We start from the raw sequence: 25,893 nt of genomic DNA, 5'->3' as shown, positions 1-25,893 counted from the left end.
AAATTGACCAAGGGTGGGGCATGGGCAATTGTATTTTTTAAGTCTCCCCACCCCCTAGGTGATTCTAATGTACAGCCAGGATTAAAAGCTGCTGCGTGAGATTTTTAAATGATTCTTTACCAAAAATCCCAATATTTATTAATGCAACTTGGACAGGGGACAGGGTATTAACTATTCTCTGAGATCGTGGCCAAACTCTGCCTACTGACTGTTTTTGTAAATAAAGTTTTATTGGAACATAGCCACCCTCATTCATGTACCTATTGTCTAGTTTTCAGGCTACAGTGGCAGAGCTCACAGAGCTGAGTAGTGGCAATAGGGGGTGGACGTCCTCAAGCCTAAAATCTTTACTATCTGGAGCCCTTTACAAAAAAAAGTTGCCAGGCCGGGCGTGGTGGCTCATGTCTATAATCCCAGCACTTTGGGAGGCCGAGGCTGGTGGATCACCTGAGGTCAGGAATTCAAGACCAGCCTGGCTAACATGGTGAAACCACGTCTCTACTAAAAACACAAAAATTAGCCGGGCGTGGTGGCGCATGCCTGTAATCCCAGCTAAACGAGGCTGAGACAGGAGAATTGCTTGAACCCTGGAGGTGGAGGTTGCAGTGAACAGAGATCGTGCCACTGCACTCCAGCCTGGGGGATAGAGTGAGACTCTGCCTCAAAAAAAAAAAAAAAGATAGATAGAAGATAGATAGAACCCGGGAGGCGGAGGTTGCAGTGAGCCAAGATTATGCCATTGCACCCCAGCCTGGGCGACAGAGCAAGACTCCATCTCAAAAAAAAAAAAAAAAAAATTGCCAAACCCCTTTCTACTATAAGCCAAGTCCAAGTTGCTCTTACTCTGCTGATCCTACATTTTCCAAGTCAGTTGCAAGGGACATATCAAAGAAAAATATTTTTAGTTATAAAAGACTGCTATTATCGGCCAGGCGCAGTGGCTTATGCCTGTAATCCCAGCACTTTGGGAGGCCAAGGCAGGAGGATTGCTTGAGCGCGGGAGTTCGAGACAAGACTGGGAAACATAGTGAGACCTCATCTCTACAAAACAAACAAACAAACAAACAAACAAACAAACAAACTAGCTGGGCGTGGTGGTGTGAGTCTGTAATCCCAGCTACTTGGGAGGCTGAGGTGGGAGGATGGCTTAAGCCCAGGGGATAGAGGCTACAGTGAGCCATGATGGCACCACTGCACTCCAGCCTGGGCAACAGAGCGAGACCCTGTCTCAAAAGAAAAAACAGACAAAAAACAAAAGACTGCTATCATCGAGTGGAAAGAGAAACAAGAACAGAGACTCCATATTTCTTCTTCTCCACACACAGGACTCAAAATCCAATATCCTGCGGCTAATAGTTCATGAGTCTGGAGTCAGACTATTGGTTCAAATCCTGGCTCTACATTTAGGAGCTGGGTGCCCTTGGGCAAGTGGCTTAACCTCTCTGTGCTCTGCCAAAGAGCTGTGACAGCAGTACCCACTTTCTAGGACTGCTGCGTGAATTAAATGAGCAACTATTTATTTGGAAAGCACTTCAGGAGTACCTGGCACAAACTAGGTGCTTTGCATTAGTCATGATCTTCCCAGTGCCAACAAACCCGACTCATTGCCTGTTTTTGTATACAAAGTTGGGATTTTTTTTGTTGTTTTTTGAGACAGGATCTCATTCTGTCACCCAGGCTGGAGTGTAGTGGTGTGATCACAGCTTACTGCAGCCTCAACATCCCAGGCTCAAGCAATCCTCCTGCCTCAGCCCCCTGAGTAGCTGGGACTACAGGTGCACACCACCACACCTGGCTAATTTTTGTACTTTTTGTAGAGATGGGGGTCTCCCTATGTTGCCCAGGCTCGTCTCAAACTCCTGGCCTCGAGTGATTCTCCTGCCTCAGCCACCCAAAGTGCTGGGATTACAGATGTGAGCCACAGTGCCCAGTTTTAATTTTTTTTCTAAGAAATGGAGTCTTGCAATGTTGCCTAGGCTGGACTTGAACTCCTAGGCTCAAGTGATCCTCCCACCTCGGGCTCCCAACAAAGTTTTATGGGAACACAGCCATGCCCATTCCCTTACATTGTACAAAGGCAGTGTTGAGTGGTCACGACAGAGACCACACCAACCTGCAAAGTCTAAAAAATTTACTTGCTGGCTTACTTTTTCTTTTATTTATTTTTTGAGACAGAATCTCACCCTGTTGCCCAGGCTGGAGTGCAATGGCACAATCTCGGCTCACTGCAACCTCTGCCTTCAGGGTTCAAGCGATCCTTCTGCTTCAGCCTCCCAAGTAGCTGGGATTACAGGTATGCACCACCATGGCCAGCTAATTTTTGTATTTTTAGTGGAGACGAGGTTTCACTATGTTAGCCAGGCTGGTCTCAAACTCCTAACCTCAAGTGATCTGCCCGCCTCAGCCTCCCAAAGTGATGGGATTACAGGCATGAGCCACCGCACCCAGCCACTTTCTGGCCCTTTTAAGAAAACGTTTGTGGACTCCTGACCCACCCCCAGTCTAGTAACAGGCCCTCTTCCTGCTTACGATCAACATGATCACCAGCTGGTTCTTCTTGGCCACCTGTGCGTGGGAGAAGATGCAGTCCAGCACCTGGGACATGTCTGGCTTGAACTGCTCCCTGAGGTTTATCACACACTTGTCGTAGTGGGCTGGGGGAGACAAAACACCACACAGAGGTAAAGCTCAGGCTCCTCACGCCCCCCACCATCCCACTGGTGTTGGCATCAGCATCTCTTGCCTTGCTGAAAATGGTGCTCAACACGCAAGTATCTTCTCAGGAGATCCAACACCACTGTTTTCATATAGCCGCGGATCCCGCTGCGGTATCTGGGGAGAAGGGAAGGCTGCTCTTAATGCTCACACCCTTCCTTGAGTACCTGAATATTTAGTATTTTTTTTTATGATTTTTAAAAAGAGAAAGGATTGGCTGGGCATGGTGGCTCATGCCTGTAATCCCAGCACTTTGGGAGGCCGAGGCAGGCAGATCACGAGGTCAAGAGATCGAGACCAGCCTGGCCAAAATGGTGAAACCCTGTCTCTACTAAAAATACAAAAACTAGCTGGGCATGGTGGCACGCGCCGGTAGTCCCAGCTACTCAGGAGGCTGAGGCATGAGAATAGCTTGAATCCGGGAAGAGGAGGTTGCAGTGAGCCGAGATCGCACCACTGCACTCCAGCCTGGGCGACAGAGCAAGACTCCGTCTCAAAAAAAAAAAAAAAAAAAAGAGAGAGAGAGAAAGGATTTTAGAAAGGACACTGAGGTGGGAGGATCACTGGAGCCCAGGAGTTCAAGCCTGGGCAATATAGCCAAGACCCCATATCTACAAAACAAAACAAAAAAATTAAGGCCAGGCATGGTGGCTCACACCAATAATCCCAGCACTTTGGGAGGCTGAGGCGTGAGTATCATTTGAGCTCAGAAGTTCAAGAGCAGCCTGGGCAACAAGGTGAGACCTTGTCTTTACAAAAAAATCAAAAAAATTAGCCGGGAGTGGTAGCGCATGACTGTGGTCCTAGCTACATAGGAGGCTGAGGTGATAGGATCGCTTGAGCCCAGGAGGTCAAGGCTGTTGTGAGCTATGATTGCACTGCTGCACTCCAGCCTGGGTGACAGCTTGTCTCAAAATAAATAAATAAAAATTAATTAATTAGTTAATTTAAAAATACATTTTTTTTTTTGAAACAGAGTCTCGCTCAGTCGGCCAGGCTGGAGTGCGGTGGCACGATTCTCGGCTCACTGCAAGCTCCACCTCCCGGGTTCACGCCATTCTCCTGCCTCAGCCTCCCGAGTAGCTGGGACTACAGGCGCCTGCCACCCACGCTCGGCTAATTTTTTTGTATTTTTAGTAGAGACGGGGTTTCACCGTGTTAGCCAGGATGGTCTCGATCTCCTGACCTCATGATCCGGCTGTCTTGGCCTCCCAAAGTGCTGGGATTACAGGCATGAGCCACCGCGCCCAGCCAAAAATTTTTTTAAAGTATCTAGAGGCACCCTCTAATCCTGAGGCCTTCAAAGGATATGGAGTTGATTCATCTGCAGGCCAAAAAGAACACTGCCCTGCCCAAAGTCCCACATCAAACTGGAGGCAAAACTGGAGTAGGTAGATCCCAAGCCTTATACTTGGGAGGGCGCCTTTCTGGCCACAGAGTTAAGAAAAAAAAAAAACTTCATAGATTTCGGATACTGAACAGGGGTAGCCAATTTTAGCAAGCTTTAACTGTTAAAAACAAAATTTTTCAATTACTTACCCAAGGTATAGAGACCATTTTAAAAAGACAAACTGGAAAAACATTTACCAAAAGATCCCCATGTAAATTTTGCTTCTCCCTTTTTTTTTTTCTTTTTTTTGAGACGAGGTTTTGTTCTGCCACCCAGGCTGGAGTGCAGTGGTGCAATCACAGCTCACTGTAATCTCTGCCTCCCGGGCTCAAGCAATCCTCTCACCTCAGCCTCTGGAGTAGCTGGGACCACAGGTGGCCACCACCAAGCCTGGCTAATTTTTGTATATTTTGTAGACAGGGTTTCACCATATTGCCCAGGCTGGTCTCGAACCTCTGAGCTCAAGCAATCCATCCGCCTTGGCCTCCCAAAGTGCTGGGATTATAGGTGTGAGCCATCGCACCTAGCCGCTTCTTTTAAAACAAAGTTTTAACCTGGATGTTCTTCCAAAAATCTGAACACAGGAGTCAAGTTTCTCAGGAGATGCGCCACTGAGTTGTGGGGAAGTAGACGCTTCATGGCAGCATCACCAAATCACAACAAAACAGACCAAGATGCTAAAAGACTCTGATACAAATGTGATTTTAAAACATACTTACACAATACAGGACAGGGCTTTAATATTTATGGTCAGCACAGAAAACTTGCTAGAAAATTCAGTTAATTTATTAATGGTTCATTTTTCCTAGATGTTTCTCTGAAGCTTAAAGGATGGGCTTAAGGTTAGCAGTCTATGTGTTTTAGGAGGACTCCCTTCCTAGCCCTTGGCTGTGAAACTTGCAGTTTGTGGGGAATCCACACTAAAATCTCTCTCCCTAACAGCTGAGGAGCTCCTTGAAAAGGAGGCCAGTTTTCTACAATCTCACATTCTTTGTACCTGTGAGTTTCTGGCACATGGGAAACATGCCTGGAATTTACTGGTTCAAATCCAAGAATGCTTTGATTCCTTTTTTCTTTTTCATAAAAGACAAGGTCTTGCTCTGTCCCCAGGCTGGAGTGCAATGGCGCGATCACAGCTCACTATAACCTCGAACTCCTGGGCTCAAGCAGTCCTCTCACCTCAGCCTCCTGAGTAGCTGGGCCTATAGGTACACACCACCATCCCCGACTCATTTTTTTTTTCTTTTTTTTTTGTAGAGACAGGGTCTCGCTACATCACCCAGGCTGGTCTCCAACTCCTGGCCTCAAGTGATCCTCTTGCCTTGGCCTCCCAAAATTCTGGGATTACAGGCATAAGCCACAGCGCCTGGCCCTGATTGTCTTCATAAGGAAAGCCTTCTTGCTAGGTGGATTTTTCATGAAAAGTGGCAGAAAATCCTTTTGTCAGCCGGGTGCAGTGGCTCACACCTGTAATCCCAGCACTTTGGGAGGCCGAGGCAGGGGGATCACGAGGTCAGGAGATTGAGACCATCCTGGCTAACATGATGAAACTCCATCTCTGCTAAAAACACACAAAAAAATTAGCCGGGCGTGGTGTTGGGCGCCCGTAGTTCCAGCTACTCGGGAGGCTGAGGCAGCAGAAGAATGGCGTGAACCCGGGAGGCGGAGCTTGCAGTGAGCCAAGATCGAACCATTACACTCCAGCCTGGCCGACAGAGCGAAACTCCATCTCAAAAAAACAAAGAAAATCCTTTTGTCATCAGAATAGTCCTGCAGCGGGAAACCCCTGTACAATAAATAACTACTTGAGATGAAATACAATTATTCATCCACTTTCCTTTGCAATTGTCCCAAAAGCCACAATAACAATTTTTGCAGTGTTTTATCATACATAAAGCTATTTCATCCCATTGTCTCAATCTAATGTATCTATCAAGTATTTACTATTTGTCAGCACTTCACAAAACTTAATACATTTATAGGCCAGACATGGTGGCTCAGGCCTGTAATCCCAGCACTTTGGGAGGTCGAGGAGAATGGATCACTTGAGGTCAGGAGTTCGAGACCAGCCTGGCCAACATGGTGAAACACCGTCTCTACTAAAAGTACAAGAATTAGCCAGGCATGGTGGCACATGCCCGTAATCCCAGCTATTCGGGAGGCTGAGGCAGGAGAATTGCTTGAACCTGGGAGGCGGAGGTTGCAGTGAGCTGAGATTTACAAACAGAGATTTACAGAAGTAAAGTACCTCACCCAGGGTTCTGCTGTTAGTAATGGCACTGCAGGACTATAACACACTTTCTCTCAGTTCAAGCCTGCCCTGAAGACAGCCCCAGAGCACCACCCTGGTGCAATGCATGCGACGATTCAGGTGACAACCACATCCTACGGGGAGACCCAGGATTCACCTCTGGACCAACTGCACGATGCTCTGGGTGTTGATGAAGAAGACCTCTCGATCAGCCTTCCGCTGCAGGGTGGCTGCATGGCAGTCCAGGATGGTGGCTATCTGGATGGGAAAACAAGACAGGTCTGACTGCTGATGATTCAGATGACACACAGCAGTCCCCTAAAGAAAGGGTCCCCAAACCAGTACCCAAACGAGCACTGGTCCGTGGCCTGTTAGGAACTGGCTGAACAGTGGGAGGTAAGCAGTGGGTGAGGGAGCGAAGCTTCATCTGTATTTACAGCCCCTCCCCATTGCTCACATTACCATCTGAGCTCCACCTCCTGTCAGATCAGCGGGAGCATTAGATTCTCACAGGAGCGCAAACCCTGCTGTGAACCGTGCATGCGAGGGACCTAGGTTGCATGCTCGTTACGATAATCTAAGGCCTGATGATCTGTCGCTGTCTCCCATCACCCCCAGATGGGACCTTCTAGGTGCAGGAAAACAAGCCTGGGGCTCTCACAGATTCTACATTATGGTGAGTTGTATAATTATTTCATTATATATTACAATGTAATCATAATAGAAATAAAGTGCACCATAAATGTAACGTGCTTGAATCATCCCGAAACCATCCCCCTCCCCGGTCCGTGGAAAAACTATCTTCCACAAAACCGGTCCCTGGTGCTAAAAAGGTTGGGAACTGCTGACCTAAAGGACCCACCACAGCCTCCCAGGGAGGTCCCATCCGAGACTCATTTGAAGATTGAAAATTCCAGGCCCAAAGCCTTCCAGCTACCCTGAAACACCCCTGTTCATCCCCTCAACGGTGAGGAATTCAAGCGCTCAAAATGCCAGCGATCACATGGAGGAGTGCACACATTCGCCTTATACCATTCCGCACATATCAATGGGATGGGGAACAAGGAGATGGGAATGTCCCACTCTAGCAAAAACCAGGGTGCTCATGGGGAAGGGTCCTGTCTTTATCATTACACATAATGTTATCGGTGTATTGCCTTTGGCATCAAAAATATTTTTAAAGAAAAAAAAACCTGGATCAATGACAAATTCCTGAAAGTTCCAAGTGTGTACTTTTTCAGTTAGGATCCTCTAGAGTTTGGCTTTTGTTATTTTTTAGTTCAGATATAACTTACACACCATCATATTCCACCATCTCCCTTTAAAGTGTACATTCAGTGGTTGGTAGTGTATTCATAAAGTTGTGCAACTATCACCACCATCTAATTTTAAAGCATTTTCGTCACTCTAAAAAGAAACCTTGTAGTCATTAGCGCTCACTCTCCATTTTCCCTGCACTGCAGCCCCTGGCGGCCACTAATCTACTTCCTTCTTCATGAACGTGCCTATTCTGGACATTTCATAAAATTGGAATCACACAGGGCTGGGCACCATGGCTCATGCCTGTAATCCCAGCACTCTGGGAGGCCGAGGCAGGCAGATCACCTGAGGTCAGGAGTTCAAGACCAGCCTGGCCAACATGGTGAAAACCCATCTTCACTAAAAAAATACAAAAAAATAGCTGGGAATGGTGGTGTACACCTGTAATCCCAACTATTCGGGAGGTCTCAAAAAAAAAAAAAAAAAAAAAAGAGGAATCACATAATATGTGGTCTTTTGTGCCTGGCTTATTTCCCTTAGCACAATAGGTTCATCCACGTGGGAGCATGAATCAGTATTCTTTCTTTCTTTGGCTGAACAACATTCCAACCCATAGAACTCCTAACCTCCGAGAATGGCCTGAACTACACTGTCCTCTGGTTTCCCAAATCACCAATTTGTGGGTGGGTGGATGATGATGGTGGGGAACCCTCCCACCAGAGGGCAGGAAGGCAAACAGGCAGAGGGGCTCTTCCCAGTGCAAATGCCTTTCAAATGCCCCACAAAACCAACAACCACAACAAAATGAACAACGCGAGGCCGATGTGTAAATAACAGAGATATTTCTTACTTCCCTGGAATGGCTTCCATTCTTTTTTTTTTTTTAACATGTTCACAAATGCAACTATGATTATGATAAGACATCTCAGTACATTCTTTTTTTTTTTTCTGGAGCACAGTGGTGCGATCTCGGCTCACTGCAACCTCCACCTCCTGGGTTCAAGCAATTCTCCTGCCTCAGCCTCCTGAGTAGTTGGGATTGCAGGTGTGCAACACCACGCCCAGCTAATTTTTTTTTTTTAGTATAGATGGGGTTTCACCATGTTGACCAGGCTGGTCTCGAACTCCTGACCTCAAGTGATCCACCTGCCCTGGCCTCCCAACGTGCTGGGATTACAGGCGTGAGCCAATGCACCCGACCTCAGTATAATTCTTAAAAAATATTATATATATACATATATATGTTTATATGTATATACACACATACATGTATATATGTATATATACATGCACGTATATATACACATATACACATGTATGTGCGTATATACACATACATGTATATATACACATATACACATGTATGTGCGTATATATACATATATACACATGTATGTGCGTGTATATACATATATACACATGTGTGTGCGTGTATATACATATATACACATGTGTGTGCGTGTATATACATATATACACAGATATGTGTGTGCGTGTATATACATATATACACAGATATGTGTGTGTATATATACATATACACACAGATATGTGTGTGTATATGTACATATACACACATGTGTGTATATATACATATATACATATACACACATGTGTGTATATATACATATATACATATACACACGTGTGTATATATACATATATACATATACACACGTGTGTATATATACATATATACACACATACATGTACGTGTATATATACATATACACACACATGTGTGTATATATACATATATACACATATATACACACGTGTGTGTATATATACACATATACACATATATACACACGTGTGTATATATACACATATACACATATATACACACACGTGTGTGTATGTGTGTATACACATATATACACACACGTGTGTGTATGTGTGTATACACATATATACACACGTGTGTGTATGTGTGTATATACATATATACACACGTGTGTGTATGTGTGTATATACATATATACACACGTGTGTGTATGTGTATATATATGCATATATATGTGTGTGTATATATATATACACACAGATACACACACACACACACATACATGGAGCTCCCAGATGATCACCTACAAAATCCAGGGGCAGAAAATCAAAGCTGCAAACCAGTGAAAAAACAAAAATAAAAAAACTTGCAGTTTCCTCTAATGATGTCAGCCAGTTTATTTTTTGGGAAATGCTCACTCCATCTGCAACAACTGCTCACTCCTATTCAGAATCTTGGGTTTTAGGCAATGAGGCCTAAGGAATACTGATGTTCATTCAAACAACTGTTGCTTTGAGTAAATGATAGGATTCTGCAGACAAGGCTCAAAAGGAAACCCTCGGCCCCTGATATGTTAGGCTATAAGTGGGTCTCAAGGAGTTCAACTTGATCAGAGGCCAGATATCGAGCCAGACCGGGAGCCGGCCCAGTGTGACCATCCTGGTGGGGTGGGGCTGGGCAGGGGAGCACGCACCTGCTGGCTGGGGAACTGGCACAGCACCGAGGTGATGTTGCTGGCATACTGGGCCATCACCCTGCGGACAGACTTCTCCACAGGGGCGGGGATGCGGCCTGCCACGCTGGTCATGATCTCCTGCAGCTCCAGCAGCGGCAGTGACGGGTGCCGGAGGGTCATCATGAGCTTCTGCACCCACTCCTTCAGCTGAAGCGGGGACCACAGCATCAGCCCCCAGCCCTGCATGGGCATGGGCACCACCGCCCCAAACAGGGCACCCAACACAGCTCAACCCATCCTGACCCCATGCACTCAAGTGGCTGAAGATCCAGACCCAGCAGCCTCTGGGGCAGTCCAGAGTGGAATGGCCCCCTGACCACAGGGGAATACTCAGTTTCCCTACATAGGAAGACCCTGACTCCCCCTCTCTGTGCATCAGAAAGCCAGCATGGTGTGGGGGATCAAACATAAGGTCACATGATGAGCTGATGTTTATAGGATACTTGCTTAGTGCCAGACAGTGTTCTAGGAACTTTCTTTTCATGTTATCATTTGATCCCTAAAAGCAACCATATAAAGGAAGTCTAATGATTTTGTCCATTTTGCAATTGAGGCAACTGAAACACAGAGAGGTTAGTTAAGTTAACCAAAGTCACTCAGCTAGTAAGAAGCAAACCCAGGCTATTCAGCTCCTGAGACTCTGAACTGCTGCCCTATGCTGTTTCCGGGGTGTCTCAGTAGCCAATGCTGATGGTCTTTGGATGACGATGATAGTGGGGCCAACATCCTAGTGTGGTTGTGAGGTTTCAAAGTGAACTGATGCATAAACTGCGAAGTGCCCCAACTAATAAAAGTTGCAATTATTGTGGGGTGCGGTGGCTGATGCCTGTAATCTGAACACTTTGGGAGGCCAAGGCGGGAGGATCACTTGAGCCCAGAAGTTCGAGACCAGCCTGGGCAACATGGCGAGACCCCGTCTCTACAAAAAATTAGCTGGGTGTGGTGGCAGGCACCTGTAACCCCAGCTACTTGGAAGGCTGAAGTGGGATGATTGCTTGAACCCAGAGGTCGAGGTTGTAGTGAGCAGTGTTTCCCCCACTGTACTCCAGCCTGGGAGACAGAGCAAGACCCTGTCTCCAAAAAAAAAAAAAAAATGTTGCAATGGTGGTAATAATCATCAGGCAGCATAACGTGGGGGCGAAGAGCACAGAGTCAGAATCCTGATGGCCATGGTTCAGATCTCATCTTTGCCTCCTCATGTATGAAGCACAGCAAGTCTCTTAGTCTCTGTGTCCCTCAGTTGCCTCAACTGTAAGTGGAAATAAGAGTTCCTACCTTATCGGTTGCTGGGAGGATGAAATGATTGAACTTTTAAGTAGTTAGAAGGTGACACAGCGGGCACGGTGGCTCACGCCTGTAATCCCAGTACTTTGGGAGGCCAAGGTGGGTGGATCACCTGAGGTCAGGAGTTCAAGACCAGCCTGGCCAACACGGTAGAACCCCGTCTCTACTAAAAAATACAAAAATTAGCTGGGTATGGTGGCACACGCCTGTAATCCCAGCTACTCGGGAGGCTGAGGCAGGAGAATCGCTTGAACCTGGGAGGCAGAGGTTACAGTGAGACAAGATCGTGCCACCACACTTTGGTGTGGGTGACAGAGCAAGGCTCCCTCTCAAAAACAAAGGGGGGTGACACATGGTACATACTTGCTAAGGGTTGGCGGTTATTATCGTCATCACCATCATGATTTGCTCTCCTGAGACGGACCCGGTACAGCACACAGTGTGATGCTTAGTCACTGCTATGAGCATCATGGGTCTTTCAAGGAGGTCTGCAAATCAGAGAACTTCTTGTTTCTCTACTGAGTGAGCAGATGAGACCCAGCAAGGGTGAATGACGAACAGAGGTGTGTTTCAAACAAAGTGCCTTGTCTGTCATCTCCTTAAGCAGGGTGACCCCCACTGACTCCTTCCTTAATGTCCTACTGGAGTATTCTCAGTCTTGAGCTGAACTGCTACAAGCCCAGTTTACGATCAAGGAGAAAAAGTCAGGCCAATGTTTACAATTGAATTGAGGAATTCCCTGAGGACAGGTCCTTCATAAACACAACCGAGGGGCTGGGTGCGGTGGCTCAGGCCTGTAATCCCAGCACTTTGGGAGGCCCAGGCGGATGGATCACTTGAGCCCAAGAGTTCAAGACCAGCGTGGGGAACATGGCAAAATGCCATCTCTACAAAAATACAAAAAATTAGCCGGGCGTGGTGGGGTGCACCTATAGTCCCAGCTACGTGGGAGGCTGAGGTGGTAGGATCTCTTGAGCCCAGGAGGTCGAGGCTGCAGTGAGTCTGGGTGACAGAGTGAGACCTTGTCTGAAAAAATAAAATAAATAAAATAAAAACAACAGAGGACCGACCATTTTCTCATTTCTTACTCAATAATGACCTCTGCTGTCACGGGGTAGATCTTCTGACCCTCCGCACTGGTCTACACGCCTGCGCTCATAGGTGACTTTACCTTTATGCTAAAAACGGGCTCTGGCAGACAAAAGCCACTCATGACGTTGGTGAGGTTTTCCAGGACGCTGTGGAAGACCTGGTGCAGTTTCTCTCCGAGGATGGGCAGTGTCTGCTGGGCAGGGAGTTCTCCTGTGAACGGTTCAGCCTGATGAGACACCACAAGAACGACAGGTCAGGAAAACTCTGGGAATTCCAAATGGGACCGGGCAGAACGGGAGGCAGGACAGATCTGCCGGCTTCCGTAATCAAGTGAGGATGAGGTCTGAGGAAAAAATCAAAGACAATGAACTGGAAAGTTAAAACGGCCAAACTCACACCCCAATGTGGGTTTTCCAAACCATTCCTTTTGCAAATGGCCCAGTACACAGTTTCACACCCCAGACAGTTTTGTGGGGTGGCGGTGAGATCTGTTTTTTTTTTTTTTTTGAGACACTCGCATTGTCCCCAGGCTGGACTGCAGTGGCATGACCTCGGCTCACTGCAACCTCTGCCTCCCGGGTTCAAGCAATTCTCCTGCCTCAGTCTCCCGAGTAGCTGGGACTACAGGCGCAGGCCACCACGCCCAGCTAATTTTTGTATTTTTAGTATAGACAGGTTTTCACCATGTTGGCCAGGATGGTCTTGATCTCTTGACCTCATGATCTGCCCGCCTTGGCCTCCCAAAGTGCTGGGATTACAGGGGTGAGCCACTGCGCCCGGCCGATCTGTTTGTTGTTGTTGTTGTTTTGCTTTATAATCAACAAATCTCATGTTCTGTATTTATTTTCATTCTCTATTGAATCCCAAAGTTAAACACCTCACAGTAGGATGAAAATTTATGAACATCTCATACAAATGCATCTGATTTTTGTAAATCATAAAAATTCAGTCTTAGGTAAACACATGGAAAAATAAAAAGCTCCCTAGAGGGCAACACAGACTAAATGTGCTCATTCGTCTACTCATTCATTCTACAAATACCTACTGTGCATGACGCACAGTGCTGGGGTGCTGTTCTCCCAGCAGAGAACACTCCGTTTCCTGCCCACCCTCTACCCCTCCACCCACACCCATCCCCACCCCTAGCCCTGCAGGCTTTTCTCCCCTTTTAAGAGATGACTTGGCCGGGCACGGTGGCTCATGACCATAATCCCAGCACTTTGGGAGTCCGAGGTGGGAGGATGAACTGAGGTCAAGAGTTCGAGACCAGCCTGGCCAACATGGTGAAACCCCATCTCTACTAAAAATACACACAAAAATTAGCCAGTCATGGTGGCGCGTGCCTGTAATCCGAGCTACTCCAGAGGCTGAGGCAGGAGAATCAGTTGAACCTGGGAGGCAGAGGTTGCAGTGAGCCAAGATTGTGCCATTGCACTCCAGCCTGGGTAATGGAGTGAAATTCTGTCTCAAAAAAAAAAAAAGCTGACTTGAGGGTTTTCCCCTACACAATCTGATCATAGCTTCTCCATGTGGGTCCCCACAGCCCAGGGCCAAGGGCGGTCTTCTAACTACACTCACCAAGTGAAGTTACTCGATCTCCCAGTCTGTCTCACAAGCATTTATGTGAGGCTGCAGGGAATGGGTGGGCAGGCCCTGCCTCATTAACCCAGCACAGGAAATGTGTGCTGAAAGGAATCACAGTGCAGGTACCCAGACCTGCCCACTGATCCAAAAAGGCCCAGTCTATTCCTAGCTTTGGGAACTCCCTAAAGAGACTAGTGATGCCAGGCACAGTGGCTCACCCTTGTAATCCCAGCATTTTGGGAGGCCAAGGTGGACGGATCGCTTGAGGCCAGGAGGTCAAGATCAGCCTGGCCAACCTAGTGAAACCCCATCACTACTAAAAATACAAAAATTAGTCAGGCATGGTCGCACAAACCTGTGGTCCCAGGTACTTGCTACCCGGGAGTCTGAGGCAGGAGAATTGCTTGAACCCAGGAAGTGGAGGTTGCAGTGAGCTGAGATTGTGCCACTGCACACCAGCCTGGGTGACAGAGTGAGACTCTGTCTCAAAAAAAGAGAGAAAGAGACTAATGAAAAGAATTGTAACAACAGTCATGTGCAGCAACATGGATGGAACTGGAGGATATTACATTAAGTGAAATAAGCTGGGCAGAAAGACAAATTTAGCATGTTCTCACTCATATGTGGGAGCTGAAAATTAAAACAAATAAACTCATGGAAATAGAATGTAGAGTGATGGCTGCCAGGGTCTGGGAAGGGTAGTGGGGCTGGTGGGAGTGGGGATGGTTAACGGGTACAAAAATCCAGTTAGATAGAATGAATAAGATCTAGTATTGAGGCTGGACATGGTGGCTCACACCTGTAATCCCAGCACTTTGGGAGGCTGAGGTGGGCGGATCACCTGAGGTCAGGAGTTCGAGATCAGCCTGGCCAACATGGTGAAACCCCATCTCTACTAAAAATACAAAAATTAGCTGGGCATAGTGGCAGGTGCCTTAAGTCCCAGCTACTCAGGAGGCTGAGGCACGAGAATTGCTTGAACCCTGGAGGTAGAGGTTGCAGTGAGCTGAGATCACGCCACTGCACTCCAGCCTGGGCGACAAGAGCAAAACTCCATCTCAAAAAAAAAAAAAAAAAAAAGATATAGTATTGATAGCACAACAGGGTGACTCTACAGTCAATTAAAATCGACTGTACATTTTAAACTAACCAAAAGAGTAGAACTGGAATGTTCCTAGCGCAAAGAAATGAAAAATGCTTGAGGTAATAGATACCCCAATCACCCTGATTTGATTATTAGACGGTATGCCTATACCAAAAGATCACATGTACCCCCATAAACATGTACACCTATTATGTACCCATAATAATTATAATTTTTTTAAAAAAGAAAACAAATACAATTAATAGAATACTCTGGAGAAAAGAGACCATGTGATATTTTTAAATTTTTTTTTTACTGGACAGATGTACTAATTATTTTAGAGTCTTGCTTAGGAGGGTGTAAACATTCATTCATTCATCAAGACTTGTTATTTCTGAGCACCCACTATGCTCCGAGCACTGTGCTAAGCCCCAGGATCACAACAGTGGACATCGAAAGTAGTCCTTGACCTCAGGGACTCATCGGTAATGACACAGCTTGACAAATTAAGAGGAATCTAAATTGGAGGTGCCCCCAAGAGCCTGAGCTCAGGGTCACATGACAGACACTCTGGTGCACCCCCTGGTGGTCCTGAGGACAGGGGGACGCCCCCGGCACCTGCCTGCTACACGTTCATCCAACAACCAATATTTACAGAGCACCTCTGATGTACTAGGCCCTGTTTTTGGCACTGGGGCCCCAGCAGCGAGCAAGAAAGCCAAAAGGCCCTGTTCTCACGGTGTTTCCAGTCTCCTGGAGGCCAAATAATAAAGCAACAAGACAATCAGTGAGATCATCTTTGTGAGGTACGGTGTGTGTTTGCACGTGGGTGGAGGTGAGCACAATTTTTTAAAGGGCGGTTGAAAGAGACCTGACAACTATATGCAATGTGCTAACCTGGATGGGATCCTGGACAATAGGTAAAAACTAAGAAAATCGTACACTCATGTTCATAGCTGCCTTATTCACAGTAGCCAACAGGTAGAAACAATCCAAGTGTCCATCAGTGGATGGGTGGATAAACAAAATGTGATTCACCCCTACAAGGGAATATTATGCAGCCTTAAAAAACAGGGAAATTCTGCCACATGCTATCAGATGGATGAAACTTGGAGACGTTACGCTAAATGAAATAAGCTAGTCACAAAAGGCCAGATACTATATAGATTCCACCTATATGAGGCACCTAGAGGAGTTGAATTGATAGACAGAAAGCAGAACAATGGTTGCCAGGGGCTGGAGGGAGGAGGGACTCAGGAGTTACCATTTAACGAGTGTCAAGTTTCAGTTTTGCAAGTGCTGGAGATGGATGATGGTGATGGCTGTGCAACAATGTGAATGGATTTAATACTGCTCAAGAGAACATTTAAAAATGGCTAAGATGGTAAATTTTGTTATGTGTATTTAACCACAATTTTTAAAAAATGAACTAAAGAAATCTGAGTGAACAATAATGTACCAATATTGGTTCATTAAATGTGACAAATGGACCATATTATTGCAATAATAGTTAAATTTTAAAGTTAATTATTATTCTTAAACAATAATACCTAATATATCGATATTGGTTCATTAAATATGACAAATGGACCATGCTCGTGCAATAATAGTTAAATTAATAACAGTAAATTGATAACAATAGTAATTAATTGAGGCCAGGTGCAGTGGCTCACACCTGTAATCCCATCACTTTGGGAGGCTGAGGAGGGTGGATCACCTGAGGTCAGGAGTTCAAGACCAGCATGGCCAACATGGTGAAACCCTGTCTCTACTAAAAATACAAAAATTAGCTGGTATGGTGGTACACACCTATAATCCCCAGCTACTCAGGAGGCTGAGGCAGAAGAATCACTTGAACCAGGGAGGCAGAGGTTGCAGTGAGTCGAGATCACGCCACTGCACTCCAGCCTGGGCGACAGAGCGAGAGTCTGTCTCAAAAAAAAATGAATAATAATAATAATACTAACAATTAATTGAATGATAATTAAATGAATGACAGGGAAACTGGCCACAGAGAATATGGGAACTCTGCACTACTTACATAACTGTTCTGTACATCTAAAACTATACTAAAAATTAAGTCTATTAAAAAGAAAAGGTGGTCAATGGTCAAGAATGCCCTCATTGAGGGGAAGACATTGGAATCAAAGCTCCCAGGAGTTGAGAGTGATCCCTGCAAAGTCTGGGGTAGGTCCTTCACAGCAGAGAGGACAGCCGCCAGGAGGGAGGGGTCCAGTGTATTCAAGTAAGTGATGGGGAGAGGGACAGAGGAGAAAGGCAGAGAAGAAAGCAGGGAACAGCTAGCTCATTTGGGGTCTTGCAGGTCACTGGCAGAAATTGGGTTTTGCTCTAAGCAGGATGGAGAGCCACAGAGAGGGATCTGAGTAAAGCAGGGCGCGGCTTCCTTGTGTTTCTGCACCATCACGGTGGCTGCTGCGACGAGCTCTGTCTGCAGGTGGAGGCAGGAGAAGCGCTACCAGCCTTGAGTCCACCTGTCTCACTGAACCAGTGGAGGTCACGAGTGCACCTGCACCAGCCAGAGCACTTGGGCCGTGGAGCCACATACCGGGTGGACTTTAGAAGGGTCATCGAGCTCCAGCCTGGCCACCACGCAGCCTGCTTCCAGCACGGCACCTGGACGCTTGATGTACTTCACCCGGCCTCTTTCCTGAACGTTCAGGGTCATGATCATCTTCATCACCTATTTCGTAAAAAGAAGAAATAGTACAGAGCCCACCGGGATTGACACCCAGAGCCACCCAGAACTAGTGATGCCGGAGCAGGGACGCGCCGGGACACTACCCAGGGACGCGCCAGAATGACTCCCTGGGTAGTGTTCAGGCAGAAGGTACAAGGAAAAGTGACCTTTACTGGAAGCCTGCTAAGTGCCAGGCAAGTGCCATTCAATCTGCAAAGCCAGCCAAGGAGGTGTTTATGATGCCCATTTTACAGATATGGAAACTGATGTTTATTTCCAAAGGGGGAGTCTTCTCTTAGAAATACTGTTAAATCATATTACATAGAGTGGTTCATATACACGTTCCTAAAACGTACTGCATAAATCAAACATTTTGTGAACAGTTTGTTTTATTAAAGGCACTTAGAAAACCCTCAGGGAACACTCTGTGAAATGAAGAATCTGCTCATCAGCCCTTTTAATTTTCCCGAATGTCTGGATACGTGCGTGGCATGAGCTTTGTCACCATGGTGGCGGCCGCAGAGCCAGGACTGTGCTATCTCTCTTGCTTGGCAGTTCACAGCTTGGGCACCCAAGTCAGCCAGGCCTGGACTAGAATCCCAGGAACTGCCCCCACCAATACCTCTGTGATCTTCAGAAGTGGCTCCCCTCCTTGAGCCTCAGTTTCCCCAAGTGTAAAATGAGGAATAATGACAGTTTCACCTCTTAGGGCTCTTACGAGGATTGAATGAGATGCAGATCCTGCCATGCAGCAGGTCAATATGCAGTAGCTACTATTATTGATGTATTTTCATTGCTATTATTGTTGTTATTTTCCGGGTTTGAATCCTGGCTTTGTGTGACCTCCAGTGAGTTTCTTAGCCTGCCTGGGCCCAGCTTTTTTATAAAATGGGGATCACATTTGTGCCCATCTCATATATTTGCTGGGAAGGTTAAAAAATAAAGATCAGTAAAATGCTTAGAACAGCACCTGCCACATGGTTATGGCTTTGCAAGTGTTGGCTTAACACCTTTCAATTATTGCTGGGGTCAATATTTAATATTTAATCATTGATTGACAATAATTGTTATTATCAATCAATTCTTGGCTGTGTGCAGTGGCTCATGCCTGCAATCCCAGCACTTTCAGAGGCCAAAGCAGGTGGATCACCTGAGCTCAGGTATTTGACCAGCTTGAGCAGCATGACGAAACCCTGTCACTACCAAAAATACAAAAAATTAAGCCAGGCATGTTGGTGCGTGCCTGTAATCCCAACTACTTGGAAGGCTGAGGTGGGAGGATCACTTGAGCCTGGGAGGCGGAGTTTGCAGTGAGACAAGATCACGCCACTACACTCCAGCCCGGGTGACAGACTGAGACTTGTCTCAAAAAAAAAATAAAGAAATCAAGGAAACTGATTTACACAACAGTTTATAGAACAGTTATGTAAATAGTACAGAGAGTTTCCATATTCTCTGTACCCAGTTTCTCTGTCATTAACCTTCTTACTCATTCCTGGGGAGATGTGCATTTTTTGAAGTTTTTTTTTTTTTTTTTTGAGACGGAGTCTTTCTCTGTCGCTCAGGCTGGAGTGCAGTGGCGCCATCTCAGCTCACTGCAAGCTCCGCCTCCTGGGTTCACGCCATCCTCCTGCCTTCACGCCATCCTCCTGCCTCAGCCTCCTGCATAGCTGGGACTACAGGCGCCTGCCACCATGCCCGGCTAATTTTTTGTATTTTTAGTAGAGACGGGGTTTCACCATGTTAGCCAGGATGGTCTTGATCTCCTGACCTCGTGATCCGCCCGCCTCAGCCTCCCAAAGTGCTGGGATTACAGGCGTGAACCACCACGCCCAGCCTGAAGTTTTTTTCTTTGAATACTTCAGGGGATTTGGCTGAAATCCACAGACTGATTCCCTTAGAAATTTGCAGACAGTGGTCAAGGGGAGAGGTAGGCCTGTTTGTTCAGACATGGGACAAAGCCAGAAGAGTGGGAGTTTGAGGGTTCAGGATTCCCCACGGCCGGCTCTGCAGTCACCTCCATCTCAGCGTAGCTGCTCCCAGCCTCAACGTGGCCCCCATCCTCCACTGTGTACTGTGTCAGCTTCCCAGCCGAGGGGGATCTCAGGACTGTAGGATCGTTCTCCTTCTCAAACACACACGTCTTATTGCCGATGGTAATTCGGTAACTGGGAGAGAGGAGGAGTCGGGTAGGGAGACTGATGAGGACTACCAACTCAGCAAGCCCTAGTCCGGCTTTCAATACCATTTCCCCTTCCTAAAGGGGGAGTGTACCCTCTACATTCCCAAAGGGTGGCAGTTGATAGTTATCTCAGAGACACTGAGAGTGAGGTGGGTGAACAAAAAGGCTGTGATGCTTTCTTATTTTATTTTTTTTTTTGAGACGGAGTCTCGCTCTGTTGCCCAGGCTGGAGTGCAGTGGCGCGATCTCGGCTCACTGCAAGCTCCGCCTCCCGGGTTCACGCCATTCTCCTGCCTCAGCCTCCCGCATAGCTGGGACTACAGGCGCCCACCACCACATCCAGCTAATTTTTTTTTGTATTTTTAGTAAAGATGGGGTTTCACCATGTTAGCCAGGATGGTCTCGATCTCCTGACCTCATGATCCGCCCGCCTCAGCCTCCCAAAGTGCTGGGATTACAGACGTGAGCCACTGTGCCTGGCCAAGGCTGTGATGCTTTCTTTGGGAGGCCGAGGTGGGAGGATGGCTTGAGGCCAGGAGTTCAAGACAAGCTTGGGCAACACAGTGAGACCCTGCCTCTACAAAAAATAAAAAAAAAAAAATAGCTGGGCGTGGTAGCATATGCCAGTAGTCCCAGCTACTCAGGAGGCTGAGGCAGGAGAATCCTTTGAGCCCAGGAGTTTGAGGCTATTGTGAGCTATAATTACTCTGTCACCCAGGCTGGAGTGCAGTGGCACAATCATGGTTCACTGAAGCCTTGACCTCCCTGGGGTCAGGTGATCCTCCCATCACAACCCCCTAAATTGCTGGGACTACAGGCACACGCCACCACACTTGGCTAATCATTGTATTTTATAGAGATGGGGTTTTGCCATGTTGCCCAGACTGGTCTCAAACTTCTGGACTCAAGCGATCAGGGTCTCACTCTTGCCCAGGCTGGGCAACAGAGTAAGAACCAGTCTTTAAAATAAAATAAAATAATAAAAAGGATGTGACCCTTTTTTGGCTGAAAGCTGGTTCCTTTTACTGACATACTTCCAACAGGGCCTGACACAGAAAAATCAATCAGTGGATATGATTCAACAAATATTTACTGATTCAAAGTCTTAACCTTTGAACTGGGGAGAGTAGAACCTATAGTAATCCTGAACATTCTTGGCAGATAGAACGTGGGTTAAAAAAGAGATAACAGGCAGGGTGCAGTGGCTCATGACTGCAATCCCAGCACTTTGGGAGGCCAAGGCTGGCCAACTGCTTGAGTCCAGAAGTTCAAGACCAGCCTGAGCAACATGGCAAAACCCCGTCTCTACAAAAAATACAAAAATTAGCCAGGCGTGGTGGCACATGCCCGTAGTCCCAGCAACTTGGGGGACTGAGGTGGGGGGATCATCTCGGAGCCCAGGGAAGTTGAGGCTGCAGTGAGTCATGATGGTGCCACTGCACTCCTGCCTGGGTGACAGAGCGAGACCCTCTCTCAAAAAGAAAAAAAAGGAGATAACAAAATATTACTCTGGCATAAACCTAGTCTTCCTTCTTCCAAAACATTGAGGATTGAGAAGAGAGTCTCCACTCTCTAACTGGAGCTTTTCAGACATCCCCTCCCCTTTCATCACCTTGGCTGGGGTCTGTTTCATTGCGTGATCTCGGGGTGATCAGACACACTGGAGGCGGGGCATCTTTGGGGCCTATCTCACTATCTCACAAGCCCCTGTGCTAAGAGCTTCCAGGGCATCTTGTGTGTTACCCGTCAGGTACACGACACCCTTTCCTGCCACTATCTGTTTGTTCAGTGTGTCATCTTCCCGAATGGGCTGGAAGCTCCACGAGTCACACCCAGAATGCTATCCCAACACCCAGCACAGCGCCTGGTACGGAGGAGCTTAGTAGGTCACTGCCGCACTAACTGGGTGGATGCCAGAGCCCAGATGCACAGGCAGCAGGCACCTGGTCACACACCTCGCAGGCCACAGAGCTGGGAGTCATGTCCCGTTCAGCTCTGAATCCCCACCAACCAGGTTACTAGAAAAGGGCCTCCTAGGATCCTCCCCTAAATATCTGCCAGTTGCACAGAATTCCAACCAAGAGATTAACTTCTCTGCACACCCCCAGAATTTACCAGAAAGGCACCTTCTCTAAGACCCTTGGACCTGCACACAGGCCAGTGCTGTGTTTTCCATGCCTAGGACAGAGAGCTGTGCATGCCCAGCCCACAGTGGGACTCGCACCCCCACGCACCTGTCAACCTCTTCCTTCATGTAGGTGGTGTAGCTGTTCCCATTGTAGGAGAGCAGGAGCCCCCCATCATTCAGCCGGTGGGCATCAATCTCGATGTGGCAGCCATTCATGATGAGAACGAACATGGTCAGAGACTGCCGGGCCACCTGTGGGGACAAGCCCCTTGTCACCGCCTGGGTTCAGGATGTGCTCCCAGAGCACTGCTGGGCCCCGCTAACAACAAACAAGAGCTGGTTGTCCACCACAGAGGGCCAAGATGAACACCCCCGTCTCTCGGACCCAGCCCTCACAATTCCTGCCAAGGGAGCAGCTGCTGATGGGGCTGGGGGAGGCCTGGAGTAGCGAGCCACACCTGCCCTGTGGGTAGGCTAATGGCCGCTTATATAGTCCCTGTCAAGCCGTGTTGGCAACTGCATGTCCTCTGGGGCTAGAGACTCCCTTCTGATTCCTGTCTCCAGCTCTCACTCTGTGTGAGGCAGCCCTGGAGACTCCACCAGCAGCCAGGTGCAATGGACTAAACGTTTGTGTCCCCGCAAAATTCATAAGTTGAAATCCCAACCCCTAATGTGATGGCTTTAGGAGGTGGAGCCTTTGGGAGGTGATGAGATCATGAAGGTGGGGCCCTTGTAAAAGAGATTAGTGCCCTTATAAAAGATCCCCTGTAGAGCTCTGTGGCCCATTTCTGACATCTAAGGACATAGCGAAAGGACAGCATCTATGAAACGAAAGGTGGGTCCTCAGTAGATACCAAATCTGCCAGTATCTTGATATTGACCTTCCCAGCCTAGAGAATTGTGAGAAATTCAGTGTGTGGTTTAGAAGCCACTCAGTCTTTGGTATTTTACGACAGTAGCCCAAATGGACTAAGACACCTGGACATGGACTAGGGCTCTGCTTCCCAGACCCAGCTCTGCCCAGGAGCACACAAGAGCTTTGGGACACGTGAGAGAGACACAGCCAAGCCCTGGCCCCAGCACTACATCTCCCTCCAGGAAGAGCGCCTGCCCCATCTGGTACTTCAGTTCAGTTTTCTCTCAGAAAACACACACCCTAAAGGGCCTTCAACCTATAAAATTCACAGTTTATGACACAAGGCAGCAAGAAATAGAGGAATGTGTATTGCAGCATTATTTGTAATAACAACAAAAATTAGAACAAAATTAGCAAGCCAACAACCTTGCAATGGAACACTTTAGATCTGCCCTGTCTGATACGGTGACCCCTAACCACACACAGCTATTTAAACTGATCAAAATGAAATAAAATGTAAAATTCAGTTCCTCAGTCACACTGGCCACTTTCAAGCTCTCAGTCACCACATAAGGGCAGCATCTTGGACACAGAAGATAGGGAATGTTCCCATCACTATTAAAAGTTCAGGGAGACAGTGCCACAGACATGAGTTTAGACTCGTGTTAAAAAAAAAACTTGTTAATAACATGGAAAACTTTATGCCATGATCATATCAAAGCTGTAAAACTGCATTTGCACCATGATCTCAACTTTGTAAAATTAATGCAAAAGGAAAAAAATATATAACAAAGATTTGCTAAAATGTTTACCAGGATTACCTCTAGGCATTAGCACATGATGGATTTGTTTTCCTGATTTTTTATGCTCGCTTGAAATTTTGAAATTTTCTACATTGTGCATATGTGACATTTAAAATCAAGTTGGGGGCAGCTAGGTCCCCAAAGGTAGCCAAGAGGCATTAGGGGCAAAGGAGGATGATTGTGAAAGCATACCCTGATCAATGACACACAGGTTTAGTTGAACTAAAGCCCCCAAATCTCCAAAGTTGTGAGTTCTACTCATGCTCATCAATATTAAATAGAAAGTACTAATTAAAGAAAACAAAAATTCTGTCTCATAAGCAGACTCAAACTCTGTCCTCTTTTCCCTCCTGACAATGTGAGGCTGGGAAGTACTGGGCAGGCCTGGGCTTACAGGGGACACAGCCTCCTGCCATTGCATTGGAACCCGGGGCACTGATGCCACAGCCGGCTCACCCCAACAAGGACCCTGGGCCCAGAACACCATGGCTAGGACACCAAGCCTCACCCCCTACCTGTGCATCTCAGAGACATTTCTGACACTGTTGAATTGACCTTGGATGGCCCACAAAGGGCAACTAGGCACTTCTGACAGAGGAGAGCAACCGGAATAAGCCCCAGGGACTCCAGTAGTAAACCAGGGAAGATGCCAGTAATCTACACGTGGTGCAGAGACAGAGAACAAAACCAGCCTCAGAGCCCCTGGAAACAGACCCGGGCCCACTATTCTGTCTCAGCAAAGGCCCAGCTCACATTCTATAGGGGTTGAATAATATCCTCCAAAATTCATGGCCTTCCTGGAACCTTGGAATGTGACCTTATTTGGAATGAGGTCTCTGCAGATGTAATTAAGATGAAATCATACTGGATTAGGGTGGACGCTAAATCCAATGTGACTGGTGTTCTTACAAGAGAAGAGACACAAAGACACAGTCATGGAAGATAATGTGAACACACACACACACACACACACACACACACACACACACAGAGGCAGAGGCCAGGGGGTGGCTCATGACTGTAATCCCAGCACTTTGGGAGGCCAATGTAAACACACACACACACACACACACACACACACACACACATGCACACACAGAGGCAGAGGTTGGGGGGTGGCTCATGCCTGTAATCCCAGCACTTTGGGAGGCCAAGGCAGGGCAGATCACTTGAGCTCAGGAGTTCAAGACCAGCCTAGGCAACATGGTGAAATCCCATTTCTACTAAAAATACAAAAATTAGCCAGGCATGGTGGCATATGCCTATAATCTCGGCTACTCAGGAGGCTGAGACAGAAGAATTGCTTGAACCTGGGAGATGGAGGTTGCAGTGAGCCAAGGTTGAGCCACTGCACTCCAGCCTGGGTGACAGAGTGAGGCTCCGTTTGAAAAAACAACAACAACAACAACAAAAAAAAAAAACAGAGACAGAGACTGGGGCAAGGCATCCACAAGCCAAAAATCACCAGGGACTGCCAGCAGCACCAGAAGCTGGGGAGGCTCGGAACAGATCCTGCCCCAGCGCCTTCAGAGAGACCACGGCCCGCCAACACCTCGATTTTAGACTTGGCTTCCAGAACTGGGACACAATAAATTTTTGTTGGTTTAAACCAGTTTGTGGTACCTTGTTACCGCAGCTACAGGAAACTTATCCACGCTCCATTGTGCCCTCTGCAGAATGCACAGCCCTACATGTTCTAAAAGCCAAAGTGTTTAGGTGTCAAGGTCACGGACTACATGGGGATTCCCGAGGAACACAAGAGCTCAAACCCAAGCATGAGCAAATCCACTCCAGGGATGGTTCATGGAAGAAAGAAACTCCCTGAAGCTTGCAGAGTGTTGGAGACATCGGAGAGGCACGGGGGCATTTACCTTGAGAATGTACTTAACACCTCCGTAAATTAATTCCACATCTACGAGGTTCAGTAGTGAATCCGCTGGGAGGACCTGGCCCCTGAAAGAAAAGACAGGGTTGTGGTCAGCCTTGGGAGGGACTGAGAACTCCACAGCCATCCCTTGCATTTAAAAAAATTACGCAACTCTCT

The 25,893-nt window shown here is 47.1% G+C and overlaps 1 protein-coding gene across 18 annotated transcripts in view; it reads right to left on the bottom strand.

Moving 5' to 3' along the window:
- Positions 1-25,893, bottom strand: part of ACACB (acetyl-CoA carboxylase beta) — a 157,038-nt gene that overhangs the window by 48,777 nt on the left and 82,368 nt on the right. For 15 of the 18 annotated variants that reach the window (XR_007063072.1, XM_047428764.1, NM_001412734.1 and 12 more), the window contains 9 exons: positions 25,721-25,802; positions 22,297-22,442; positions 19,898-20,048; positions 17,749-17,883; positions 12,594-12,740; positions 10,097-10,285; positions 6,514-6,614; positions 2,744-2,832; positions 2,530-2,654 (listed from right to left, as the gene is read on the bottom strand). Coding sequence is in view for 17 of the 18 variants with exons in the window: in XM_047428764.1 (XP_047284720.1) it covers positions 2,530-2,654; positions 2,744-2,832; positions 6,514-6,614; positions 10,097-10,285; positions 12,594-12,740; positions 17,749-17,883; positions 19,898-20,048; positions 22,297-22,442; positions 25,721-25,802 (1,165 nt within the window). In the remaining variant the exon portion in view is untranslated. Of the gene's footprint in view, positions 1-2,529; positions 2,655-2,743; positions 2,833-6,513; positions 6,615-10,096; positions 10,286-12,593; positions 12,741-17,748; positions 17,884-18,251; positions 20,049-22,296; positions 22,443-25,720; positions 25,803-25,893 lie in introns of those variants that run through there. The other 3 variants (XM_011538263.4, NM_001412738.1, NM_001412742.1) reach the window with 2 other exon arrangements.

This window comes from Homo sapiens, chromosome 12 (genome assembly GCF_000001405.40).
Source record: "Homo sapiens chromosome 12, GRCh38.p14 Primary Assembly".
In the NCBI taxonomy this organism is placed as follows: Eukaryota; Metazoa; Chordata; class Mammalia; order Primates; family Hominidae; genus Homo; species Homo sapiens.
The sequence above is the reverse complement of the archived record's forward strand: the minus strand, read 5'-3'. Positions and strand labels throughout refer to the sequence as shown.